General features: G+C 35.4%; 1 long non-coding RNA gene across 1 annotated transcript in view; it reads left to right on the top strand.

Moving 5' to 3' along the window:
* LINC02466 (long intergenic non-protein coding RNA 2466) overlaps positions 1 to 13,832 on the top strand; it is a 47,308-nt gene that overhangs the window by 13,240 nt on the left and 20,236 nt on the right. The window contains exon 2 of the long non-coding RNA NR_110753.1: positions 8,519 to 8,611. This is a non-coding gene — a long non-coding RNA (long intergenic non-protein coding RNA 2466). The remainder of the gene's footprint in view (positions 1 to 8,518; positions 8,612 to 13,832) is intronic.

The raw sequence follows: 13,832 nt of genomic DNA, 5'->3' as shown, positions 1-13,832 counted from the left end.
AAATCTAGGTGAGGAGGAAGGGATACAAGGGTAAGGAACAGTGAAAGGCATTGGATAAATGGATCAAAGGTTGTATTAAGCTCCTTGGATTATAGGAATTATAGGAGATGGCTTACTAGAGAGAGTAAACAAAAAAAGCAAAAAGTTGTAGTCACAGAGTGAGACAAAAATAGGTGTTAGTTTATTGAAGATCAGAAGCAATGGAGTAGTGCTTATATTTCTCTCAGCTGATGGTCCTAGCCACAAAAAAAAAGCCCTGCTTTTCATAACACGTGCATTGGAAATTTGAGGCATTTTTAAATTAGTAAATAATCCCATTTGGGAATCTATGAGTATTTTGAGAGAGGAGGTTTCATAAAATGATGTGACGAGATTCAACTATCTAAGCTATAGTAGCATCATATGTTTGCAACTATATAAACAAGCATATTGACCAAAACACTGAGGTATCTTTTCTTAGCTGTCACTATTTGTGTAGCTGAAGTAAGTAAAGGCTTTTCTCTACAGATGAATTTACATCTTGTTAATCTGACATTTAAATGGAATTTAGAAGTTCCTTTGCTATTGAATTGTCATTTAATCTAGCTAATCTAGATATTTTAAAGATATATTCCTTAGCCGTGCATTAGGCTTTGAAATTAATTAGTATACAGATTCCCTGAAGTGTACATTCTCTGTAAATTGAGTGCAAAGAGGATTAGTGTACAGGCAGTGAAAATCGCTTGTGGAAAATACGAGCACTTCCAAGCTCATTGCATTTAAGTACGCCAAGTGTTTTAGTTTGGCTAGTTCTTGATCAACGGGCATTTCAATTTTAATGCTGAACTAACTTGGCCAGACAGGAACAAAATAAGCAAGTACACTTGTCTATCTATATTATTATGACTATATCTAAGGTTGCAGGACTTATGCATAAGAAAGAAGAAAATAATAAATTATATAGATATAAGCACTTCAATGGTCATGATTTGGCAACCTCTGAATTATGAGACAATGAAGTGGTATTCCCTTCAAATTTAGCTATTTTTCTTCAGTTATTCAAAAACAAATAAGGAAAGCTTGAAAATCTATGTTGCCAGATAGCCCCTGGTCTGTGCTAAGTAGTAATTATCTGAAAAAGTTTATTAGAGTTTTGGCCATATTGTTCATGAACGGGAGAACAATGAATATTTCATTCACAAGTTCAACAATATCAGTCTCCTGCAAAAACCCAAGATCAATCTTATGTGACAATCAGTGAATGATATTTAGTCACTAATTGCAGACTACAATTATTGTCTTTGCATCCATTAGGTTAACTTTCCTAGTTCTAACTTACTTCCTGTCAAAAACAAAAAGTCTAGTCTAAGTTGCATAAAACAATAATGATGAGCTAAAAGCAAACAAGATGTGTAATCCGCTACACACTTGTCAGGACTGATGGACCCATATATTTGAGTCTTTTCTTACAGGTTTCTGAAGTATCACTCCCCAATAAAAAATTAATTAGTATTGAAATGCATAGATGAGGAAATGATAAGGTGTATTGGTTCATATACAATAAACTGTAAAACAAGCATATAGCAGAGTAAAAAGTAATAACATATTTTCAATAGCTATTTTTTTGACCAACCTACTACACACAAGCATAAGCTACAGGATATGGAGGCTTTAGAGGAAAGTTGCCAAGGAGGCAAAACACAAATAAATACCTATTATGCAAGGAAAAAAAATGATACTCACTCAATAGAAGTAGAAATAAGTGAATTTGGGAAGGTTTCCTAAGGGTGATTGAAAGGATTTGGACAAACATCAATAGCATAAGGGAAGATAGTGGCAGGGGAAGGAGGAGGGAAAGGTGGGTGGAAAGCTTGCATGCAGGGAGTCTAGAGGCTGTATTTGGAGCAATGGTGATGCTCACTATGGCATGGGGCATAAGACTTACTTATGAAATATCAGGGAATCAAATTACAGAGGTAGATTGGGCTGCATGAACATATAGAAACCAGCAGTTCTCTGACGGGTGCAATGGCTCATGTCTGTAATCCCAGCACTTTGGGAGGCTGAGGTGGGAGGATCCCTTGAGACCAGAGTTCAAGACCTACCTGGGCAACATAGTGAGACTCTGTCTTTACAAAAAGAATTTTAAAAATTAGCTGGGCATGGTGGAACACACCTGTAGTCACAGCTGCTCAGGAGGCTGAGTTGGGAGGATGACTTAAGCCCAGGAGTTCAAGGCTGCAGTGAGCTATGATTGCACCACTGCACTCCAGCCTGGGCAACAGAGCAAGAACCTGTCTCTAAAAAGTATAATATAAACAAACAAACAAACAAACCAGCGGTTCTCAGAGTGTCATCCAGAAACCTCTGGGAGCTCCTGAGACCATTCCAGGAGGTCTGCAAGGACAAAACGATTTTAATAATATTAAGATCTCATTTTTCCCTTTCACTTTCATTCTATCGTGAGGGTAGAGTGGAGTTTTCTAGAGGATATGTGGCACGTGATATCTCAGCAGATTGAATGCCTGTGGGGCAGATATGAGAAAGCAAGTCTTCTATAAAGCCAGACATTAAAGAGATTTGTAAAAAAAAAAGTAGAACAATGTGAGTCTTCACTACTTTTTTGTTTTGGGAAATATAGTTATTTTTCATAAAAATATTGCTGTTGTTAACATGCAATATGCTTTTATTTTAAATGTATTAAGACTATTTAAAATTTACGCTAATTCTTAATATGACAAATATGAATATATTTAAGTTACATTTATGGTGGGGGAGCACTTTGGTATCTTCAATGATTTTAAAGTGTATAAAGGAGTCCTGAGACCAAATGTTTGAGAAATGCTGGTATACATTAAATAATTTGGGCTTTCTCCATTAGGAAGGATTTGAAGGAGGCAGAAGTGGTGATTGGAATTTATTGAATATGATGGGACATAGTCAAAGTTTAGAGCTTCGCCATATTTATCTGCTATTTCAGATTTCACTGAAAACAATGTTTTGCAGCATTTATAAAATTGCCCCTTTCGCTTTTCTAAACAAGTCTCCTTCTATGTTAAAGAGCACACAGCATTTATGTTAGGCGCCTCTTGTGCCCCACTTTTGTAAATTTTATTTTTTATTTTAGATTCAGGGGATACATGTGCAGGTTTGCTACACGGGTATACTGCAATGCTGAGGTTTGACTGTTTATTGATCCCATCACTGAGACAGTGAACATAGTAACAACAGGAAGTCTTGCAGCCCTTGTCCCCCTCCTTCTCTCCCTGTTTTCAGAGCCCCTCGTGTCTGTTGTTCCTATCTTCACATCCATGTGTACCCAAGTTTTAGTTCCTACTTATAAGTGACAACATGTGATATTTGATTTTCTGTTTCTGCATTAATTCCCTTAGGATAATGGCTTCCAGCTTCATCCATGTTGTTGTAAGCGACCTGATTTTGCTCCTTTTTATGGTGATACAGTATTCCATGGTGTATATGTACCACACTTTCTTTATCCAATCCACTGTTGATGGGCACCCAGGGTGATCCTGTCTTTGCTATTGTGAAATAGTGCTGCAATGAACATACAAGTGCGTGTGTCTTTTTGATAGAATGGTTTATATTCCTTCGGATATATACCCAGTAATGGGATTGCTTGGTCAAATGATAGTTCTATTTTTAGTTCTTTGAGATATTTTCAAACTGCTTTTCACAGAGGATGAACTAATTTACATTCCCACCAACAGTGTATAAATGTTCCCTTTTCTCTGCAACCTCACCAACATCTGTTATTTTTTGACGTTTTAATAATAGCCATTCCGACTGGTGTGAGATGAGATTTTATTGTGGTTTTGATTTGCATTTCTCTGATGACTAGGGATGATGAGTATTTTTTCAGATGTTTGTTGGCCACTCCAGCTATTATTGTCATCATCAGTCCTGCATAGGCTTCAACCATTCTGCCCAGGTGCCCTCAGCCTTGACTCAGGCCTGCACCACCTGTGTTACTCTTTGCTCCTGGGATCCTATGGATTATAGTATGAGATGCCCATGGGAACCCACTCTGTGCTCACACATGTACCCCACCCAAAAATGTACAATGCCATTATTGAGCAATGAACAATAAGGACCAATAAATAAACATTTCCAACTTTTCTCTCCCTGAGTCAAAAGTTCTGAGGCACATTTCCTAAGGCTTCTCACAAGGTGCCAAAGGAACAAGCAATATTGTTTATTAGAGTAAACAATTTAATAACCCAGCCTTGTTTGGTTTCTCATCCTTTCCGGTTTTACCTCCAGTCTATCCTTCACTTCTTTTTCTTGAGATGACATTTGCAAAATGCCCTTAAATAACAATGTAAACCAAATAATATATTAATAATAATGTAGTTCAGCAATAAAATGTATCTATTGGTTAAGCCTCTACTGGGTACTACTACTATTACTGCCACTCCCATAATAATAATAATAATAATAATAATAATAATAATAATGACAATAATAAGTAAAAGTACTCAATGAACCAGAAAAATAAAATATTTTAAGCCCTTAAGATCCTTCTCTATATTAAGTCTGAAGAGTAATGGTCAAGTATCTAATTTAACATTTTCCCAGTGCCTCTGAATTTTGAGTAATTTTTCTGTCTTTAACAGAAACATTTCTCCTATGTATTCAATTTCATTCTATCCCCATTATTACCACATAGTGACATCTCATAGGTCACTGTTAACTTCCAAAATTTCCTCTGGCAGAAAGCCCTCTTCTCAGGACTTCCAGTCAAAGTTATGGCCCCAGTTGAGTGTGCTGAGCATACTTACAAGAAATAAACCTATCATGGTTGTATTAATAAGCCAGAGACTGTGACCCTCTCATTTAACACATTCTGCTTAGTAATTATTAAATAACTATGAAGGGAAGCTTAGTGCCCTTTTAGTAACCTACCTCATTCATAGTTTTGGCCTTGTGGTCAAGACTGACATAATCTTAAATATAATAACTATTTCCCTAATAATTATTCCATTTGCTGTTCCACTTGTTCATTACATATAAAGCTGACTACCTATTACTTGAAATATGTAATTATGTGAAACATAATAGAAAATAAGCCTCAAATTTGTCATTTCTAATTATCTGCAAATGTCAATGTTTCTTGAAATATTCTTCCTGTTTAAGTATAGATGTTGTAGATTCCTGGTAAATTTTAAGCCATCGTAAAGAACAGCTCAAATAACATCTCTTCCTAAAAGCTTCCTTGAGCATATCTACCCCACTAGCACAGGTAGATTTAAATACTTCTGTACCCCACTTCAGCATATTAAATGGCACCATATTTTACTATACATACTGATTTACATGCTTGTCTGTCACTTTAAGTACTTCAAGAGCAGATATCATGCCATATACATTTTGCATGTTCAACATATAGCGCGGTACCTAACGAACAGCAGAGAATGTTACATAAATGAATAGATGAATGAATGGATAAGAGAATATGTCAATCAATAAATGAATGACTACATGAATAAAAGAACAAATAAATGAATAATTAAAACAAGTAGGTTCAATAGTGTACCCAGTCAGAACTCCAGAAGTACAATAGAAAATTCCAAACCAATTAAAGAGGGCTTTTTTTTTCTTTTACTTCCAGTTTCCATTGCAGTCTTTAAATTGTTTCTGATTTAGTGGAAATGAAAAGATACTTTTCACTGAGCTAATTTTTCTATTTTAATGTTCTTTCTGACTTTAATTAAATATCTTCTATAAGCTTGTCTTTTTGCCTTCTCTCTCTCTCAGAAGTAAAGCAGTGTGTGCTCAACTCACAGGCTTCACGAAGATTTCACAGCTCTATTTTTAATGCTTGCAGTAACAGTTGAAGACATGAGTTAAGAATTTTTTGTCCTATTATTATTAATTCCAACGAACTGTTACAGAGAAATAATTGTTCTGATCAGAATTATACTAATTAATTTTACATAATCAGTGATTTGCCATCACAGAAGCTTTGTATGCTCTTACAACTTGTTGTTTTCTGCTGGATGCCAAATTTGTACCTTTGTGCTTTTACACATTCAGTAGTAGCATGGTCTACTCTAAAGACTAAGAATTTAGAGCTTTAAAAGCAAGCTGATATAAGTTAACAGGACAATTATAGTTGCTTGATTAACACTGCTGTTTAGAGGTAGTGCAGGATTTTGTTCATCAATCTTGCTTTTGTCTTATATTTTGTTTTCTTTTCTGGAAAGGTCATTTTGTGTATTCTTGGCATGGCATGAGGTATGCTGCAGTGCATGATAGACTTGGTTACATTTGCTTTTTTGTAACTGGACTTAAAAATTTGCTTTTGGTCATTTGTCTGCAACTATTTCACTTTCCTAGCCTAGAGCTTTTAAATCATCAATCATGTGGGGTGTGAGTGTGTGTGCGTGTGTGTGTGTTTGTGTGTGTCTATCAGTTGGAGAGCTAGCTTGACAGTTTTGATGGGCCATTATTGTACTTCAAATTTCATTTGTAGAAGATTTCATTCGACATTTCAGACTTATTATGCTACCTTGAAAGCTGGAGTTCCATAGGGTTCTGTCTTTGATCTCAGGTCATCATTAGTTAATGCCAATGATCCACAGCCTGCCCCTGGTGAGAATAACTCCAAACACTTGTGAAATACCGTTTCACTGTGGCTCTTTCATCAACGGTAATTATTTTGCACAGCTTGGGAATATTCTGTACATATTATAGGAACTCTTCCAATATAATTTCATGAATCATTAAGATAAATAATAATTAGAACTTTCAGTTGTGTTTGATTAAGTATAAATAATAAAATTATAATACAGTGATACTTCCTTTTCATACAAATTGGAAGTAGGAAAAGGAAACTAAGAGTTTCCTCCAACTAAGAGTTTCTGGTTTTGTTTTCTCTTTTGCTGCCACTGGAAAGAATTTCTGGCACTGCATTAAATCAAGACAGAGTGTGATTATAATTAATACTATTATTAAAAAGGTCATGTATAGGTTTACTTTGCTTTCAGCAGAGCTTCTCTAACGGGTCTACCTTAAAAAGAAAAGAATAATTAGGCAAATCTACTTTAAAAAGAAAAAGAAAAATGAGGCAAATTCTCATTTTTAACAATGCATTACAAACAGCATCTTTGTAAAAGAAATTCTGCTTTAATGTTTTGAAAAGATCAAGTGGTTCACAAAAATTATTTATACACTTAGTAATTATATAAAGCATTAAATATGTTATGCTATAGCAAGAAAATATATTTCAAATTGTAGTTTTATATTCTGGCATATAGAAATAATCGTTCCTTGATTTCCCATATTCTTTCATTCTCGAAACTCTGAAGAGCAATTTCATCTAATTAAATAGGAACAAACTGTTTGGGGCTGATAAGGAGGATAATTTCTCGGCAGTACCTGATTCAATGCTACAGCATCACTCGTTTTCTCATGGTGGTATCTTCTAGGTTTTAGAAATATCATTTTTATGCTCTCCAAATACTCTGAAATCACAACATACCTCTGTCATTTCTTTCTTATACCTTGCAAATAATTGTTATTCTATTCACCAATTTATAATGATGCTTATGATTTCCTTAATAATGCCAAATGACTTCCATCAATCACTAATTGATCACTACCTTTTATCCTGAGTAGACTAAATTATCTCTTTCAAGTTACCTTAAGCCTCAGTCAAACCTTTCTTTTGCATCTTTGGACAGAACTGCACTATCAATTTACATTTACATTTTATTTTATTTCCTTATGTATTGGCAATTGAGGTCAGGGACATTTTTCAAAGAACAAAATAAATGACAGAGAGTGGCAGTGAAAAAATAATGCATCAGAGAATTCTCTCTGCTTGGTGTCCAGACAGTAGTATTTGGCTGAGAACATTTGCAGCACAGTATACAAATGCTCACTGGCCTAAAGCATGCAGTTGTCCTGCTGCACTAGCTCTCCTGGGCTGAGAATGTGTGATAGCATTCAACATGTGCATCACAAACATATGTGTGTGTGTGCACACATGCACGTGTGTGTATACACATATATAAACAATGTACCATATTAAGAATATGCATATGTAAAATAATATTTTTATTAATAAATTTTGCAGAAACATTAAAAATCAGAGTGGTACAAATTGATGTTAATCTAGTTATGTGTCTAATACCCAAGTCTGCAGAACTCAAAGGAACTGAAATGGTAAGAAAATAGCACATCCCTTTCTCTCCTTCTGTTCTCAAATACAATTTTTTATGTGCTAATTAGCTACTAGGGGACTATAGTTCTCTTCTATTTTCTTTTGATCATGGGAACTGAGAAGATTTTCAGAAATATATTGACATTAACAGAATCCCATTATAGCAAAACAATAGATGTTACCACATGAGATTGCTTTAAAGCGATTTTTATTTCCATTGTTGTCAGAGTCATCTTTGTATGCAGCTTTAAGATATAAAAGCAGCTTTAGAAAATTTCATCAATAATGTGTATTATAGAAACTACCTGCAGGTGTCATAATGATGATGTACATTTCTGTTTCCATTAACTTCAGGGGAAATAAACAGAGTGTGATTATATGCAAAACCTACAAGAATGAGGACCTCCAAACTCAGTGTACAGAGTGATTTTCTGCTGAAACAATTGGGTATGTTATTTGTTTGCTAATATTAAACTCTAATGAAGACACGTCCTTCCATATTAGCCCAAAATTCCTATTTCAAATATTTACCTTCATGTGCATACTCTTTAACTTCTAAGCAAGATAAAATTTCTGGCTTCCCTTTACACTTTCTTTCACTTTCCTTCTGCTAACTGAACAGTTCTTCCTTGTGAGAAATTCAACTCAGGGTAGTTAGATGAGCCAGTCTCTAGCTATCAGAGAACCCCATCTCTCTGGCCATGTTGGTATAAGAGGTGTAGGGATACCAAGGCAACAGAATCCTCCCTGGAATTTCATTTGAGTGGTTGAAAAAGTGGCTTCTTTTTTTTCTTTTCACTGGGAAAGTTGGTGTAAGAATATTGGAAGCCTGAACCTAGCACTGTCTGCTACTGGCCTGACGTCTTTTCCACAACATGGGAAGAGATTGCCTGGGAAGGAAGCCAACTCTGTGGAAAGCATAAGAAATAACCAAAGAAAGTGAGAGGAATATCCTCATGACACTATTTGAATCCCTAAACCCAGCCTAAGTGAGGTTTACTCCTTGGACAACCCTCCTTCTCCAACCAGTTATATGAGGATAAATGCCCCTTTGGTCCTGTAGCTTGAGTACATTTCTGTCACTCGCAACTTGCAAATTTGTGACCAACATACCTGCACGCATGCACACACACACACACACATTTAACATTTGCCGTATTGGACATACAGGATGGCACATCTTATCTGGACAGTGTTGAAGTGAACTTTTAAAATGAAGTAAATTTTGTTGAATCGTAGCCTGAGACAATGAAGGGGTAATTTAGGGGAAGGTGAGTAACAAGATGCACTATTAACTTAAACAGTGTTTTTTTGGAAGAACCATACATTGCCACTTTTCTGTTCTATCTCAAGCCTTGATTGCCATGCTAAACAAGGTTTCAAACCAGATTCCAACCCCAGGTTTTCCTCGTTGACTCAAGTCCACTCCATAGTTGACTTAACCACACTTCCTTTCTTTTTATCACATGCTCAGCCTAACCAATAAGTGAATGGTAAAGAATCATCATATATAGCTTTCTCCCAATTTGTAAATTGACATAATACTACTCCTTAAAATTAGTTGTTTGGAATTCCCAGAGCTGTGAGTGATACCTTTGCATGCCACCTTACCCTTAGAACCCCTACCTCTAAGTTGCCTTTTTTGACCACATGCTGGAAGCTGGGTGTCGGTTACAAGCTGACTGTAAAAAACGGCAGGAAGGAGAGGGGCTTCTTCTCAGCCTTACCTTTAGGTAAACACATGGTAAAATATCCTTTGGAAAAATGTATGCCTTCTCTTCTTTAAGTAAAAGATGGTTTGATCACTTTTGTTTCAGGAAATCAAAAAAAAACCAAAACTGAATCCTCACTTAGCGGAGGGGAACAAAGAACTCAGATTCTAAGGACAAGGCAGAATCCATTAGGTATAGGGCAGAAGCTAAAAAAAAGGAGAGGACTCTGATTAAAACATAAAACCCAAAAGAGTACTTTTTAGTGTAAGTCTTTTCAGGACTTAAGTCATAACTACCAACCCTTACCATTTTGGTGCCTATTTAAAACACTTCCAACTTCCAGCACCTGTAATTCTTTGCTGAGGGCTTTCTCTGGCCGGTGGAGCCTGTTCTGCCTGTGTTCAGGGCAGGCAGCCAGAAGTTCTGGGGAATTAATGTTTCGAACCTCAGCACTCACAAGCACTGACTGACAGAGGTTGGTATGTAAATTTCCTAGCTTCCTTACATCTAAGGTGGAAACAATCTGAGCTGCATATTCTATGTACTGTTTCTCATAGCTCCTCAGAAGGATTGAATTCCAATTGATCACAGTGGTACCTTAACTGTCAATGCACCCTTTATTGTCCCTCTCACTTTCCTATCTAAATTTGCTACTTCTGTACTGTTGCTCCCTTCAATTAACTCCAAGCCAATTCCAAATCCTTGTCCCAGGGCCTGCTTCTTTGGGATCCTAAAGCAGGGCACTTACTAATGTTAATTGTTATCCTAGTCCCCATCTCATTCATGGCCAATTAAAGACGGCCACAAAATCTTTGACACTCCTGCCATGGACAGGTGGGATCTAAGGCTCTTCTGAACCTGGGCCAAATAATTCATAATTATTATTCTATCCAAACAATATTTGTTTACATAAGGCACTATTATTTCTTGTTTCTTTTTTCACTACTTCTATTTATATCTTAACCCTGCTTTCTGGACACTCAATTTCATTCTTCCTGTAGCATAATAACATTTAGTATATATTTTGTTAAGGATTTGTTTGCACTCACAACTCATGCTGTTTGTTTTTCTAGAATATACTTTATTTCACTACCATTTCCTTAATAAATGTTTATCTGGATATAAAATTTGGCTAAATGACTAGATATAAAATTTTAAGTTGCTAGTTATATTTTCTCAGTGTTTTAATTCTTCTTCACTGTCATCTGTTTCTATTGTTGGTGTTAGCAAATGTGCTAAGTTTCATTTTTTGTAAGTAATATTTTATGTGATTGCTTTTAAACATACTTTTGCTTGAATGTTCTGTATTTGATTAAAGTGTGTCTAGATGCAGAGTTCTTTTTATTCATTCTGTTTAGGATGTGCCATGATTCATGAACATAAGAAATCAAGAATTTCTTCACTCCAGAAAATTTGCAGGAATTATGTTTTCCATGTTGTATCTTTCCTACTCTCTGTATTCACTCTTTATTTTCAATTAGAAAAACACTGGTCTATCTCATCCATTCTTCCATTTCTCCTAAGACTGCTTTCATTATATTTTACACTTTAATTCTCTGTGCTTCATTCTGAATAATTTGTTCAGCTCCTGTTTCCAGTTTGCTCCTTTCAATAGATATACTCAATTTTCTATTTAACCATTCTATTAATGTTTCCATCCTTACATTTTTCACTGCTATAACTTCTTGTTAGTTTATTTTTTGTTCTGATTTTTCACAGCTCTTGTTTCTTAGTTGTGTTTTCAGTCTCTTATTTTTAAGACATTTATACATTTATAATTTCATTATCTGATAATTCTGTGTTTAATTGTGCTGTTTGTTGTCTCTGCTGATTATTTATTATAATTTACATTTAATATATGCATATAATATTGCATTTGCAGTTGTGAATTAATCTACAGGAGCGTTTTCCTGTAAGAACCCCATGCAGCCTGGATTGTGAGTGCTTTGTTTTTAGAAAGCATTTGCATTTGCTTCTTTCAGTGATAGGGCACTAATAATAACAGATAATTAATTTTTTGGCCTTATATGTTCTTGACCTGTCTGGCAGTATAAATGAAAACCTCAACATTTTATTTGGTTACAGACACATACAAGTTTTTGTTGTTTTCCTGAGAGCCAAGGAATAGGTAAGAATGTTCAAGCATTCTAGCTTTATGCAGTGTCACCTAACTCTCTAGCTAGACAAACCCTAATGCTCTGTCTTTGTGGGAATGTGGAAAACCAAGCATCTTGTTGACCTACATCAACAAAAACACCCCCATGCTTTAGTGCCCACTTTTCATGCATATCACAGCTTTCTCTTTGTGGCTTCTTGGCATTTTCCTTACTCTTGTTAATTAAAATATGTATTTAAAAGTATTCATTGTATGTTAGCCAATGTTTCTAGATGTTTTCAAGTGGAAAGGATTTTGTATCTTCTATGAAGTGGAACCATAGGAAATTTCTATTTTCTTTAACAGTCCAAAACAGTTCAACATCATTGACTTCATATAGTTCAACCTAATAATTATGGTTTTTTTTTTTTTTTTTTTTTTGAGGCGGCGTCTTGCTTTGTCGCCCAGGCTGGAGTGCAGTGGCGTGACCTTGGCGCGATCTCCATTCACTGCAAGCTCCGCCTCCCAGGTTCACACCATTCTCCTGTCTCAGCCTCCCGAGTAGCTGGGACTACAGGCCCCCACCACCACGCCCAACTAATTTTTTTTTTTTTTTTGTATTTTTAGTAGAGACGGGGTTTCACTGTGTTAGCCAGGATGGTCTCGATCTCCTGACCTCGTGATCCGCCCGCCTCGGCCTCCCACAATGCTGGGATTACAGGCATCAGCCACTGCACCCGGCATAATTATCTAAATTTCTGAAAATGAATATCTCCATAGTCTTTCATTCTGTTAAATAAATGGCATTTACTGGAAATAGCAGCTAGTTTTTGGTGGTTTTGTCAAACAGTTACCTGATATTTGGATAGAATTTATGGACTATTTCTGAACAAGGACTATTTTCATGTTACATCAGATTCTCAGTTGAAAAATATCACAATCAAATCTTCAGGGTTGAATGATTTAATTTTGAGAGTGTCAAATAAACCCCCAAATAATTCTTAAGTTGCATTTAGTTAGGTATATGTGATTTAACATACATTTTAAAACATGTTGGTTTCTTTCATCAACAAGTGAAGAAAATACATGTTGTGAGGGAACTAAACTCTGAGTAAGCTAACCATTTGCATCATACTTTAAGAAACCTTTATATTTATCCTGAATGTTTAAATTTGACATATGTTGGTCCATCAAGTGATAGATTCTGGCTACCCCAGAAAGAGCAAATTTACTAAATTTATCATTGAGATAAATGTGTAAGATATATGAAATTTCAAAAATGGTCTTTATAATCATTTTCATTGTCATGAATAAGTGATTTTTGTTTGTTTCCTAATTGCATTTCAAAATCATTACACCTTTTACGTTCTCAGTACTGCAGGATAGAAAAGCAAATTCATGACTCAATATGCATTTTTTGAGAGCACACTAAAAGAATGCAGAAAACATGACCATAATTTGGTCTCCTTTACAATTTTCTCTGTTTCATTCAACAGTGAATTAAAATCAGCCAGCATATTTTTGAGTCATAAATATGTGGAGAATTAAAAAGTGCACATACTGGCATTGCATTATAGCCACATCCATTCAGTTCATAAAATAGCCCTTAATTAAATAGAAAACTCTTCACATATATCATGGTGTTTCAGTAATTAAAAAAATATGATAAGAATTTCTGTCTTGTACACATACCATACATAAGGCAAGTTGGTTTACACTTTACATATCAGTGTTTCCTCCACAGATAAGCTACATAAATGACGGCATATTGGATGGTGACAGCGCCTCTAGAGTGTGTACTTCTGATATGCAAAGACATACCATGTCAGTTTACAACTGTATTGTATTTTGTTCTGTTTTC

Source organism: Homo sapiens, chromosome 4 (genome assembly GCF_000001405.40).
Source record: "Homo sapiens chromosome 4, GRCh38.p14 Primary Assembly".
NCBI classification, from domain to species: domain Eukaryota; kingdom Metazoa; phylum Chordata; class Mammalia; order Primates; family Hominidae; genus Homo; species Homo sapiens.
The sequence above is the reverse complement of the archived record's forward strand: the minus strand, read 5'-3'. Positions and strand labels throughout refer to the sequence as shown.